General features: G+C 39.8%; 1 protein-coding gene across 8 annotated transcripts in view; it reads left to right on the top strand.

Moving 5' to 3' along the window:
• The window catches only part of GLI3 (GLI family zinc finger 3), a 303,320-nt gene that overhangs the window by 202,458 nt on the left and 86,298 nt on the right, over positions 1–14,564 (top strand). For all 8 annotated transcript variants that reach the window (XM_047420208.1, XM_047420207.1, XM_047420205.1 and 5 more), the window contains one exon: positions 13,115–13,320. In XM_047420208.1, the coding sequence (XP_047276164.1) occupies positions 13,115–13,320 (206 nt within the window). The remainder of the gene's footprint in view (positions 1–13,114; positions 13,321–14,564) is intronic.

Here is a 14,564-nt window from a genome sequence, read left to right as displayed (position 1 = left end):
TGTTGAATAATATAGACAAATTGTTCCCCATCACTACATACACTCTACAGTACACTACATATACTCCTTTTCCATATGTAATTTAATTTTGAAAAGTTAACACCCTCCAAGGGGATAAAGTTCTGAAATATTGAGAAGTATGCTTAGGACATAAAGCCTTAGTCTCATATAGTAGTCCTACAAGCTCTACTTCCAGTTACATCTAAAGAGCCTGCCACTTCAAAAGGGCTCACTTTTTTCACCTTTATGGGACCAATGGCCCTAGCAAACCTTGAAGATTTTATTCTGGAGGAGAGTTATTGAATCACTAATGATAGTTCCTTGTTGGACATCTCTATATAACTTAAAATAAAGGTGATTAAAAGAATCAGGGGAAGTAGGAGTGAGATGTCAAGGTTCAAGGGATAACTCAAAAAACAGACTAGTTAGTAGTTAACAGTAATAATAATTATGATGAGGATGATGATGATACTAATATGGAAAAAGTCTTTATACTAGCTAGAAGATGAGACTACTGTTGATAAAAGATTCATTCTGATTCTTGAGGTAGCCTTACTGTCTTCTTGGCTCAGAATTCTAGGTGCTTCCTGTCTTTGTTATAAATATCCTCTATAACACCTGCCACCAGACCCAAGATTAAGCAAGGATTAAATAGTTGGAACCCAACTTCCTGTTTTCAATTAATTATATCCACCTAGTACCTGAAGTCCTCTGAGGGGAAAGTTCTTGCTTGAATAACAGATTCTGCCTTAGTGCTGCTGAGACTTTTAAAGTAGCTGTTTACCTTGAATTGTTGAGATTTCCATGTAAATGATACAAACATGAGCTGGTTTGTTTGTAAACAGATCTAACTGAGTCTCTTGTATGTATGTTAGAGTCATTTTCCCTTACACTTGATGTGTATTATGGCTCAGACTCAAAAGTTTCTGCTAAAGGAAATCATGATGGATAAGTTTCTGCATTGTTGGAAAATGTAACACCTATACAAACAAATGTCACTTATCCCAGGAGTTTTCTAGGCACAGTTAGTTCATCATAGAGGGACTTAGTTGTTTGAGGAGCCATTCTTTCTACACTATTGGGTGTCAATATTTTTCTATTTTGCCTTGTATTTTCTTTTGGAAAGGATATTATTTTGCCTATTTGAGTATTGTTTTTGAGATGGAATTGGTAATTCATCAAATTACAGAAAATAGGATTGGTAGAATTAATGGAAAATAGAGAGGAAAGTCACAGAAATCAAACTGATTAAAAAATTTTTGTTTTCTCTATCTCTAAAGACAAAAGTTTTTATTTTTTTTCTTCATGGCAATGAAGTTGCTGAACTAAAACTACAGAATTATTATGCTCTTGAATTTACTTTGAAGAAAAAAAATCCATCATCTTAACTAAGGTAAATCAAATCGCTTAATCTATCTGTTAGGAGAAAACATGAGATGGGTGCGCCTAAGTAATGCCGAAGTGACATCATAGCTGAACTCACCCGGCCACAAACAGCTCACTCCCTATCAGGTCCTTGAGGGAAATCAGTACTCAACAAGGCAACGGAAGCCAGGTGACTTTGGCCTTAACCAACCCAGAGCTCTAGGAATGGCAGCAGCAGCAGGAATGAAGGTGTTGGTTGTAGGGGCCAACATTTACTGAGAATTTACCATGTGACAGTCACCAGGCTACATGCTTTCTGTATACTTCCCTGTTAAAAAGGAAATGGTACAGTGCTGCCGCTTCTCTGTCTGGGCTTAAGTAGCTGGAGAGCAAAGCAGGCTTTTAAGGATCTAGTTCACCCAACAGGCAAACCTAAGCCCAAGACCTTGCAACTGGTGTATAGAACAGCTTACTGAATGCACACTTCCAGGTATAGGGAGCAGGAGAGTGAGACAGAAGGAAAGACTCCTTTGATCCTCTGGGCCTGGCTGGATTGGCCTCTGCCGTGGCCTGCTCCACTGGAGGAAAAGGGACTACCCAAGGGAAAAAGCTTGGCTGATCAAAGGTAACCACTTGTTATCTTAGGGGAAGAGGAGAGGAAAGGACAGCATCTGTGTGCTTTCTTAATGCAGATCAGTTAGGAAACTGTCTAGAAAACAGAGCCCCATCAGATGTCACAGAATCCAACCAATGAGAGCAGCTCTCCATCGCCCATTCAACATGGCACCTAGGTGGTAGGAAAAGAATTGCAACTGGACATATGAATGTCTCTTTTGACAGCGACAGCTGTTTCCTCATCAAGGTGGTACTTCTGTGGACATTGTAAAGATGGACATAGCATATTAGTTCTTCTAATAATGAATTATATTTATTTTTATTATATTAATTAATTTATAATTTGTAATTAAGAATTATAAATGAATATTATATTCATTTATACTTATTAATTCCACTTTATATTTATATAATACATACATTATATAATAAAACATTTTATATAATAGTTACTGGTTTTATCCTTCTTACCAACTCTAGTAATCAGGGGAAGAAGATAAGAAAATGTCTTTCATTTATTAGACATTGCAGAAACAAGGATACCTTTGCGTGAACTATTTGGACTCCATTTGGAGGACAAAAAAGTCTGCTAAAATAATAATTTAATATATAATGTGTATTCATGGAATTAAAATATTTAAAACATATGTTATTTAAAAACAAGTTGTCATCTGCCATTTGGTTCAGGTACGCTCTTTTCTCCACTTCTTTTTCTCTTCTGTTCTTAATTCTAAAATGTGAGAAACATACATTGAGCTCTCTTTAAACAAAAGTTAGTGGGATAGAACGCAGTCCCATGCTATGAGATGTGGTCATTTAGCTCTCAAGTACTTATTTGAACCAGCAGTATGTTCATTAAGATCTCTTTTTAATAACAGTGCATTGCATGTTACAGTGGCTGGAATGGACTTTCTTTTTAATTCTTTGACCTTGAAATTTTAATTTATTAATGAGTTATATTTACAGTACAGAGTAGAGACAAATTTGGCACATTGTTCTTTGCAGTCTTTCCTGGAAGGAATGAAATCAATTTTAGCTATAAACAATTGCACTGCTCTTGTACAGTGATACTTGTATAACATTGTTTCAGTTGTTGGAAGAACATGACTAACATGTATTTGTTTGGCTTCTCTCTTCACAAGAAGCTCCTTTGATTGGCTTAGCGGTAGCCCCTGCCCCCTCCAAAGTTAATACACAGATGTCCACCTTCCATAGCTTACCTTGAATTTAGACTAATGTGTCAGCTAGACTATTTTTGTTTTATAGCAGTAGATATGTTATTATTTATGTTACCTTTAAAGCATCAATATTTTGTAAGTTTTGAGAAATAAAAATGTGTATCAATTTGATTTTCTGAATTTAATTGAAATGGTTGAAACCACTGTGGGAAATCTCGATGTATTTGGCATGTATCCTTTTAAAAAATTATTGATGAATAATACAGAGAAAGTTGCACAAAATGTACACATGTAGCTCAGTAAATGATGATGAATGATCATGGAGTGAAAACTTCTAACTTAACAGTTCTAGAAATAGAACATCCCCACACCTCATAAGCCCTTCTTCCATACTCTCCACCCACCTGAAAGTCAACATTATCCTGACTATCCTAACACTGAAGTTGACTTTTGCCTGTTAAAGAACTTTATATAAATGGGATCATACATTATATTCTTTTGTGCCAGTTTTCTTCTTTTTTTAGTTAATTTTAATTTTTTTCTGATGAACTTCCCATTTTATTTATCACATATTTTTTATTTTTAAAGCTTTTTTATTACATATTTTTTATTTCAATAGCTTTTGGGGTACAAGTGGTTTTTGGTTACATGGATGAAGTGTATAGTGGTGAAGTCTAAGATTTTAGTGCACCTGTGACACCAGTAGTGTACATTGTACCCAATATGTAGTTTTTTTATCCTTTATTCCCCTCCGCTGACCCCTCGCCCCCTGCTGCCTTTCAGTCTCTAAAGTTCATTATACCACTCTGTATGCCTTTGCATACCCATAGCTCAGCTCCCAGTTATAAGTGAGAACATATGGTATTTGGTTTTCCATTCTTGAGTTACTTCACCTAGAATAATGGCCTCTAGCTCCATCCGAGTAGTTTCAAAAGAAATTATTTCATTATTTTTATGGGTGCTGGGCTTCTTCTATCCATCATTATGTTTGTGAGATTTTTTATGTTGTAGTTTGTTCATTTTCATAGCTGTTTACTGTTTCATTGTATGCATTATTTGTCCATTCTACTGTTGATAGATATTAGGTTGTTTCCAATTTTTAAGTGGATGACTAATGCTGCTATGACTCTTTGAGTACATGTGGCACATATGCACACGTGATTGTCTCATATATTCCAAAGAAAAGGATTGCTGGAATATATGGTAAGAATTTGTGCAAGTACCCAATGCCTGATTGTTTTCCAAAGAGGTAGTTCTAGCTTGCGCTCATATTGAGAGTTCCTGTTGGCCTAAATCCTCATCAACACTTGTCACTGTCAGACTTCTTAATTTTAGCCACTCTAGTGGGTGTTTAATGATAACTCATTTTGGTTTTAATTTGCACTGCACTATAAATGATGTTTATGGAGAGTTAGTTAAAAGATAATAGAAAAACCTTATCATACTAAGAAATAAAGTATAATTCAAAATACATGATTTTTATTTTTAATATGTAAGAAGTGCATAATGCCTGAGAAAATGCTGGAAGTAATTATGTTAAAATGTTGACATTGGTTAGCTTGGATAGAGTGAATGGCTATTTCTTTTCTTAAATAACCACTTGTCTTTTTCATTCATGGAATATTAAGTCCTTTTATACTCAGAATAAGAGACTTTTTTTTTTTTTTTTTGAGACGGAGTTTCGCTCTTATTGCCCTGGCTGGAGTGCAATGGCGTGATCTCAGCTCACCACAACCTCCGCCTCCTGGGTTCAAGCGATTCTGCAGCCTCAGCCTTGCAAGTAGCTGGGATTACAGGCATACACCACCATGCCCGGCTAATTTTTTATTTATTTATTTATTTATTTATTTATTTTTGTATTTTTAGTAGAGACGGGGTTTCTCCATGTTGGTCACACTGGTCTCAAACTCTCCACCTCAGGTGATCCACCCGACTCAGCCTCCCAAAGTGCTGGGATTATAGGCACGAGCCACTATGCCCGGCCAATAAACTTATTTACAAAAATCTCTTGAAGTAATGTTTCATCATTAAAACAAATATTTCTTTTCCCTTCTCTGTCTTTAAAAAAATCAGCCTTAGCCTTTAAATTCTCCATGTAAGAAAATATTCATCACCTTAGCATTAATGCATACGTTAAGCAATATTCTAGCCCTCACCTTTAGTGGCCACTTTCATTCAAATCATATTTACTTTTTGTGCTGGTTCATTGTCCATATTTTTCATGACCCACATGCTTTTGGGAGCCTCCTGTGAATGCTTTTTAGCTGTGCCACCACTCATTAGGTCACATCTACTCATACACACTTCTTTTGAGTGTAGCCTTTTGCCTCATTTGACTGTAGGCTCTTTCAGAGAAGAGACCATGCAACCATGTATCATGCTCCTTGAAATCTCTCCCAAGTGCAGAAATCATAGCGGATTCTTAGGGAATGGATTTTCAATAAAATGTTATATTAGTCCATTTTCATGCTGCTGATAAAGACATGCCCGAGACTGGGCAATTTACAAAAGAAAGAAGTTTAATGGACTTACAGTTCCACGTGGCTGGGGAGGCCTCACAATCATGGTGGAAGATGAAAGGCACTTCTCACATGGTGGCAGACAAGAGGAGAGAGCCCGTGCAGGGAAACTCCCCTCTATAAAACCATCAGATCTCATGAGACCCATTCAACATCAGGAGAACAGACCCGCCTCCATGATTCAACCACCTCCCACATGTTCCCCCCAACAACACATGGGAATTCAAGATGAGATTTGGGTAGAGACACAGCCAAATGATATCAAATGTATATCCAATGAAGAGATCATTGAAATGTTCATCTGTGTGGTTATACATGTAGTTTTTAAAAATTAAAATCCAAATGGTAAATTTGTAAAAAGCATATGCCAATTAAGAATTCATGGAAAAATATTTCATAGCTACAAAGATGATGAAAATAGGATTGGAAATGGAACCATTTTATCAACTAGGGGCCTGGGGGCTGATGGAGTGGGTATGTACAGAGGTGTGGGTAGGGTTAAGGGGACAAACAAGTAATAGTAAAGCCCCTAATACAGTCAAAGTTGGAATGAAAAAGTGATTCAGTGAGGGCTGGAGCAGCAGAGGAGGGCTCGCCCACCAGGAACAGTGGCCTTGGGGGAGCAATGCCATACCACAGAGCCACAGCTAGCAGAGAGGGAGGAGGGGACTTGTTTTCCCTTCCTGCCATCTCCTGCCTTGCTTCCCTTAAGTGGAAACCGGAGGGAAGGCGAGCCAGCTGATTCAGACCTTAAAGACGAGACTCCCCACACAGGCTGTGGCCTTGGGGAGGAGGAAGAGCAGATGGAAAGTAACCACCATAACCATCTGCACCTCTCAGGGTCACGTGGTGTTTCTAGGGCAGAGGTTATCTGAAAGCTTACCTTGCATAGAGGGAAAAAAAAGTATAGGATTGTGCAGATTTATGACAGTGTCTACTGTTTTACTCTTGAACATTTTAGATATTTGTTTTCTTTAGTGTATGGAAAGGAAGAAAAACATATATGTGTATATATATGTGTATATATACATATATGTGTATATATGTATATATACATATATATGTATACATATATGTGTGTGTATATATATATGTATACATATATGTGTATATGTATATAGGTATACATATATATATTTGAGGCAAGGTCTCACTCTCTTGCCCAGGCTGGAGTGCAGTGGTGCACTCATGGCCCACTGCAGCCTCAACCTCCCAGGCTCAAGTGATCCTCCTGCCTCAGCCTCCCGAGTAGCTGGGACTGGGACTGTAGGAGTGTGCCACCATGCCAGTCTAATTTTTTTATTTTTATTTTTCTAGAGATGAGGTCTCCCCATGTTGCTCAGATTGATCTTGAACTCCTAGGCTTGAGTGATCCTTCTGCTTCAGCCTCCCAAAGTGCTGATATTAAAGGCAGGAGCCACTGCACTGGGACAAAAGCAAATTTTTTCTTACAAATTTTGATTTATTAAAATGGTATTTATTGAATAATTAATTAATTGGTTAAAAATGCATTAAAAAGAACAACTACCCTCTGTTCTCTATCAGACCACTGCTTGAATATGAAGAAGGATGTCTACTTGTTATATTTAAAAAAACAAAAAATAAGCTTATGTAAAAAACCAACATATTTCAGTCTTCCAGTAGTTGGAGCAGTCATGCAGAGATGCAGGAGATATGTGTACATTTCCAGTATCCCAAGCAATGTGCGAGCAAATTGTAATAATCTGGCATGTAAACCTTGTTTAATGCTCTCATAATGGGTAATGCAAGTGATTAAATACTGTGATTTTAATCTTGGCATTTTAGTAACCTAGTAAGATAGATGAAAAGGCAGTAATGAATTAGATTATATAATAATATTTCATTCTAACTCAGAAGTCCAGTTATTCTCTGCAACATGTTTTAAGTTTCTCATGGTGTACTGTTAAAAATGCTCTGATAAGAATCTTCTACTCTTTCATTGTAATCTATTTTCATGACCATATAAAAAATATTCTGAAATCAAGTTACCTACACCAACAAACAGTTTCCACTGGGCAATACGGAAACAAAATGCCAGTGACTCATTAGGTCTCCAATGTCTTGGAAGACAGAGGGGTAGAAACAGCATAAAGGGCCTTATCCCTGAGAGGACACAGAGGCATTGCATACAGGAGCCAAGACACAGGGATAATGGGGCGAGGCACATCTTCCCAGCTGTGCCCTGTAGTCCCAACAACACTCTACAGTTTGGGAATCTCTGGTGCCCAGACAGCAGTTTGTCAGATTTAGTTTGGAGGGCCACAGGCATATTTCTATACTCTTTTGCTGCAACATAAATAGCATGGAATGTCTGTTCTTGGACCAGTTCTGAATTTCAGTGTTTTTCTCAGAATGTTTGTTTGTTGTTCTTTCCTCCCTGGTTTGTGTCTCCCTCCAATGACTGAGCCACAGACAGTCCCAGGACAGAGAGAAGGTGGACTGCCACAAAGACCGAAAGCGGTGATCCTCAGTTCATTTCTGTGTGTATCTACTAAAAATGTGCATCAAGCAGACACCACAGTTTTTTTCCTGGCACTACTTTTAATCTTCAAATGAAGATTTTTAACAAGCTCGACAAATATTTACCAGGCCAAGTTGATGATAGTTTGTAGGAAAATATATGTCATTTCTATGGGAAATTTTGTGGCCGCCTTCTCCATACCTCCCCTGTCCTCTTCCTTCAGTGGAATTCAGCCCTCCTCTGGTCATAATCCTGAGTGCCCCTCACATAGCAGTGAACACACGTCTGCCTGATAAATTTAAGGAGCTTAACCTTCTCTCCCAGATTTGCTTTCCAGTTAAAAACACAATAATTGGGCCGGGAGCCATGGCTCACGCCTGTAATCCCAGCACTTTGGGAGGCCGAGGCGGGCGGATCATCTGAGATCAGGAGTTCAAGACTGGCCTAATCAACATGGTGAAACCTTGTCTCTACTAAAAAGACAAAAACTTAGCTGGGCATGGTGGCACATGCCTGTAATCCCAGCTACTCGGGAGGCTGAGACAGGAGAATCGCTTGAACCCTGGAGGGCGGAGGTTGCAGTGAGCCGAGATTGCGCCACTGCACTCCAGCCCGGGCAACAAGAGTGAAACTCTGTCTCGAAAACAAAAAACAAAGCCACAATAACTGACAAATGATCTAGCTGCCAAGAATTTGAAGATGGCTCCGTTAGGTAAGGTTAAAAACACCTTTATTTAAAGACTATTTACATGTCAGGAGGCTGTTTGGCTATGGTAGTTGAAGTTTGGATGCTCAGCTTTGTTTGCTTAGAAACTCATTTTTGTCACACTTTAGCATTAGAGAAATATGCTAACCCAGCTCACGAGAGCCTAATGTGGAAACAATTAATAAGTGACCACATTTTAATGAGAAACTGAATACCAGCCACTGCTCCGCTAGGGAACAAATCGCCATTTGGACTTTTTTTTTTCTGAGTTTAGAATCAGAAGAAAAGAAGTGTTGTTGGCTGGTTCTACAAGAATATCAACAACCACAGCACTTAGGCACTGTGTTCCTACCTTTACACACAGGATTTCAGCCCTCACGGCAGCTCCTGGAGGGAGCTGTGATTGTTCCAATTTTGTGTATAAGGAAACTGATGCTTGAGTGAGGGAATAAGTGAAGAAACCTTCAAATCCCATTCCTTCAAAGCCCTTGCATTTAATTACTGACTTCATTTTCTTAACCACCTCATGTGACTTTATGATTTTACTAAGGGAGGTCCTGGAAAATCCAAGGAGGTGCCTCCAAGGTGCTGTCAGGGAGAGGAGCAAAGCCGACTGGTGTGATCAGATTTGCTATGGAAAGGGGATTCTTCCACACAAAAAACCTGGACACAGATGTTTATAGCAGCTTTATTCATAATTGCCAAAACTTCGAAATAACCAAGTTTTCCTTCAGTAAGTGAAAGAGTAAATAAGCTATTCCATACAATGGAATATTATTCAGTGCTAAAAGGAAATGAACTTTGAAAAAATATGGAGGAAACTTAAATGCATATTACGAAGTAAAAGAGGCCAATCTGGAAAGTCTACATACTGCCTGACATTCTGGAAAAGGCAAAACTATGGCGAGGGCAAAAAGATGAGTGGTTTCCTGGGGTTGGGGGCTGGGAGAAGGAAGAAGGGAAGAATTGGTGAAAGAGGATTTTTAAGGCAGTGAGACTGCTCTGTATGATACTGTAACGGTAGATACATTTGCCCAAACCCGTAGAAAGGATAACACCAAGAGTGAACCCTAAACTATGGACTTTGGGTGACGATGATGTGTGAGTGTAGGCTCATCACTCGTAACAAATGCACCACTCTGGTAGAAGATGTTGATAATGACAGGAGGCTATTTATATGTAGAGGCTGGGGGTGGGGGTTATATGGGAAATCTCTGTACTACAGCTCAATTTTGCTATGAATTTAAATTGCTCTAAACAAAGTCTGCTAACAAAAAGAATGTCTTAATATTTCAATATTTGAAATCACACAGTATGTTGCATTTGCTACCCCTACTATGCATGTATATATGTTTATATGTGTGCATATATCTGTGTACATATACACATGTGTATATAAATATGTTTGTGTATATGTGTATTATGGGTGGAATATGTTAGCACAGTATGTGATGTATATGTCACATATGATTTTACATATGGATGTATGTGTATATTTGTATATATGTGTGTGTGTGTATGTGTTGAGCATTCAGTATATACTAGGCTCAGTACATGAGACTTTACTCTTGTCAACTTCCTAAGACTCCCACGAGGTTATCTTCCCCATTGGACCTTTAAGGAAGAGGAGAAGGTGAGTATCAAGGCTGAGGTCCACGCACATTGAGTCCCACTGCTTGGATACATCTGTATCTAGAATTCCTGATGACCCCCTTATGACTGCCTGATGCACCTGTATCTTTATCTTCAAATCCTGGAGGAACCCTCCTTTCCACTGTTGCTTCTCAGCAGTATGTAAAAGGACCGTAGAGCCCAGTGCTCCTGCCAGAGAAGATATGACCAGGTCTTGGAGCCTCACTCGTGGGAAGCTGGTTTAGTAGGTACCTTCAGTGTCCTGGTGGGAAAGGCTTGAATCCAAGTGAAGCAGTGACAGGGACATCAGACTTGATAGACTTTTGTGAGGAGAAAACAGCTTCCTAGGCTTTCTTTGGGATTGATGACCACCCTAGCCTGGCCGCTATAATTTTTGTGTTTTTCTAGATGCTGATTGGTTTTCCTGTGCATAATTCTCCAAAATAGAATTTGGACCTCTAGGGATATTCTTACCACTCTTCTCAACTCTGGAATTTTGGAGAAATAATAGGTTTCAATCTTTGGGTAAATCAAGAAAAGCCAGTAAGAAATGTCACTGCCCACCCTGATGTTTAGTTCATGTTGCTCAGACCAAGTTATTCCTGGATTGCAAAAGCTGGCCCAGGAGGCGTCATCTCATGGCTTTCTTGAAACAGCTCTTCTGCATTCGGTGGCACCAGTCCCTCAGTGGAAATCTATAAACAAGTCTGTGTTTAGAATCAGATTGGAAGGATTGCTTGTCCTTTCTTGTGAAGAATAAATGAATGAATTAGAGCATCCCCTGTACCTTCTAAGGTAGCAAACACATCTAAATACGGTGTAAGATTTAACCAATGGCGGACACGTCTAAATGGAGCTTAGGGGCTGAGTTAACAAAGAACAGAAAGCCAACTTGTTTTGTAGTAAAGAGCTAAAATAGGAAAGACTAATAGGTTATGTTGATTTCTATTTAAACAAGCCATTTTACTAATTTCTGATTGGGTGTGAAAGCCTCAAGCTGTTTTGAAAAGAAATAGCTATTTGCTGGTGGTGATTTCTTACTCTTCCCATGTGTAAATTTAGAAAACTTTGGATTTTTATTTTGCTTTCCCAAAGTAGCATCTAAGTAACAAATAAAAAGCCTCATTTTTTTTTTAGTTCAAAATGAAAAAAGAGTCAGAAGGAGAAAGTGAGAAAATCCACCCCCACCACCATATTTCAACTTCTTTCATTTTCTACTGAGAGAAAATTCATTATCTGATCTCTGATTTCATTTATTTCAGTGTCTGCGCTGTGCACTTAGTGGAGCTGGCTTTTACCAAGATTATATTCTGACAGGGTGATGGGGGCCGGGCTGTGCGTGAGCATTTGCTTTGCAAGGAGAAAATGTGTTTCCCCCTCCCTTTCATTTCACTCCTAAAGCCAGTGGTGGAAGAGGAATTTGCTGTTCTCAGTTGATCTCTCTCTATCAGGGCCTCCCCTTCCTATGGCCGCACCCTCTGTGAATGAGGAAAAGCGGGGAGCACAACTGTTTAACCTGTCAGAGCCAGTTCCCTGATTATCCATGCCAAATGTTTTCCGTTAGAGAAGGAACTTGGTGGTCCAGGAGGTTATGCAGACTGGCCATTCTAGAAGTGGCTGTCTCAGGGTGTGGCTGTGGCTATGGGGCAGCAGGTGTGAGGGGATTTTGAGGAATCTCTCTCCAGAAGCAGATCAGGATATCGTGGTAGCAAGGTGTGTTTTAGAATTTATTTTTATTAACCAAAAGCCTACATTCTACCTTAGCTCATTATAACCGACGCAAGGGCTTGATTGAAAATGCATTCTTCCCCAACTTTCTAACCCGGGAGCACTTAGTTGCTACTGCTCACTGAACGTGGCTCATCGGGATGCCTCATGGAAAAGGGCTTGAGCAGAAAGCTGATTCCAGGTGCTGCTGCACAAAGGGGAGGAGTTGCCTTCCAAGCACTCACACCTGGATCCATAAAAGTCATTTTACTTACCACTGCGAGGCCCTGGGAAGTTAAACAGACATGTGCCTGGATCTTTAGAGTGACCGATTTCCCATTTCTAAGCAGACTTTTGCAATGGGTCTTCTTCCTTACGGACAGCTCTGCCATGTGCATGATCAGGCTTCCAGACCAGACAAATTTGGGATTGTATTCTTTCATTCTGTTCTGTTCTGTTCTTTTCTTTCCCTTTCTTTTTTCTTTTCTTTTCTTTCTTATTTTTATGCAACACCATGCTAGTAAGAGGTAAGTTTTAAATGGTAACATTAATATTTGGGTCAAGTGGAAAATACAATTGTAGCAACCACTTTAAGCCCAGTTGCCTGTTATTTAGAATTTCTTCTCATGGAAGAAGCCATAGGTTGACCTTTATTTTACTATTTTGGAGTGCAATGAAGTTTCTCAGAGATCAATTTATTTTCCCAAACAATTGCATAGCGATGCTCTGCCTGCATTATATCATGCTGATTTTAAAATAATAGTACTAATATGTATTTGCCTGCAGTTTTTTCCACAAGGCTCCTTTGAATTCACTTAAAATCTTACTTATTTTCTTTCAGAGACAGCCTCTGCCTGTGGAGATATTTGTCTCATGCATACCCCTTGTATCTGGTTTTCTTTGTACCCAGGACTTCCGCCTTATCTAGTAGCCCTACGTATCCGGACCTGCCCTTCATTAGGATCTCCCCACACCGGAACCCCACTGCTGCTTCCGAGTCTCCCTTCAGCCCTCCACATCCCTACATTAATCCCTACATGGACTATATCCGCTCCTTGCACAGCAGCCCATCGCTCTCCATGATCTCAGCAACCCGTGGGCTGAGCCCTACAGATGGTAAGTCCAGGATGGATTCTGCTTCTGGAGATCATGCAGCCTCCTCCCCGCTCCTCACTCGGGACGTGTATAAAGTAGACCTGATGTTTAGTGAGTGTTTCCCATGTGCCAGGCGCTGTGCTCTGTGCCTTACATGCATGATTGCGTTTCAGTTTTGTAACACCTCATTGGCAGTGGTGTTATTATCTCCATTTTCATGTCAGAATAGCAGCGTGCAGTGGGGTTTACTTGCAACGCAGTCAATCCCATGGCTAGTAAGGGGCAGAGGTGGAATTCATTGAAAATGTTTCTGATTCCCAAATCCCTGCTGGTAACTAGGGTTCTGTTCTGCTGCTTCACATATGATTAGACTGGTCCTGTAGCCATTCACACACGTGCATGTGTAACATGAGTGTTTTACTCACCTTCTGATGAACACTTTTCTGTTCTGTGTGTCTGAGCACATTTATACAGATGCGTCTGTTAGAGGAGGGCTTCCCAAACTCTAGTGTGTCTATGAATCACCTGGGGAGCCTGATAAAACGTGATTCTGCATCAGGTGGGATCAGGTGGGGCCTGAGATTCTGTGCTCCTCAAAAGCCGATGATGTCAGTGCTGTTGGTGCCTGGACCACACTCTGAGTGGCAAGGTCTTAGAAAACATCATGGTCCAGGGCTGTTGCCTGTGCTTTCTATTCTTGACCATGCCACATGAAAATCCGAAGAAGTATGTACTGGGAAAGGAAATGAGCTTAGACTTTCTTATACTTGTTGCTCATTTTAGGCTCTTAAGGATCGAATTCCTGTTGGTTCTGTTAGTCCCCCCATTACTTTCCACATGACTCTTCTTAATTGGAGCTGTGTATTCTCCTGGTGTCAACTTATAAACTGGTCCTTTGATTCAGGAAAAGTATTTTCCATATCACGCACACATAGGAATTCACTTGCCCAATAATCACTGGAATCTGAATCAAGGTCCAGAATTGCATCACCTATTAATTACAGGTAGCAGGCTCTGAATTCTTTGCAAGAGATCGCAAATCACCACTGCCTGTTCCACATCAGAGAAACACCAGGCATTTCATTTCACTGAGCAGTGCTTGATGCGACTTCCATGCCCTATCCACATTCTCTAGGTAGACGCCTTCCTGAGGCTGGGTGTGCATGGTGAGAAGCTGCATGAAGTGTCTCAGGAAACATCCACTCACTTGGGTTTTCAGAAATAGCTTTCCTTCAGTAACAGCCACTTTTTTCTTTTTTGATTCA

This window comes from Homo sapiens, chromosome 7 (genome assembly GCF_000001405.40).
Source record: "Homo sapiens chromosome 7, GRCh38.p14 Primary Assembly".
In the NCBI taxonomy this organism is placed as follows: Eukaryota; Metazoa; Chordata; class Mammalia; order Primates; family Hominidae; genus Homo; species Homo sapiens.
The sequence above is the reverse complement of the archived record's forward strand: the minus strand, read 5'-3'. Positions and strand labels throughout refer to the sequence as shown.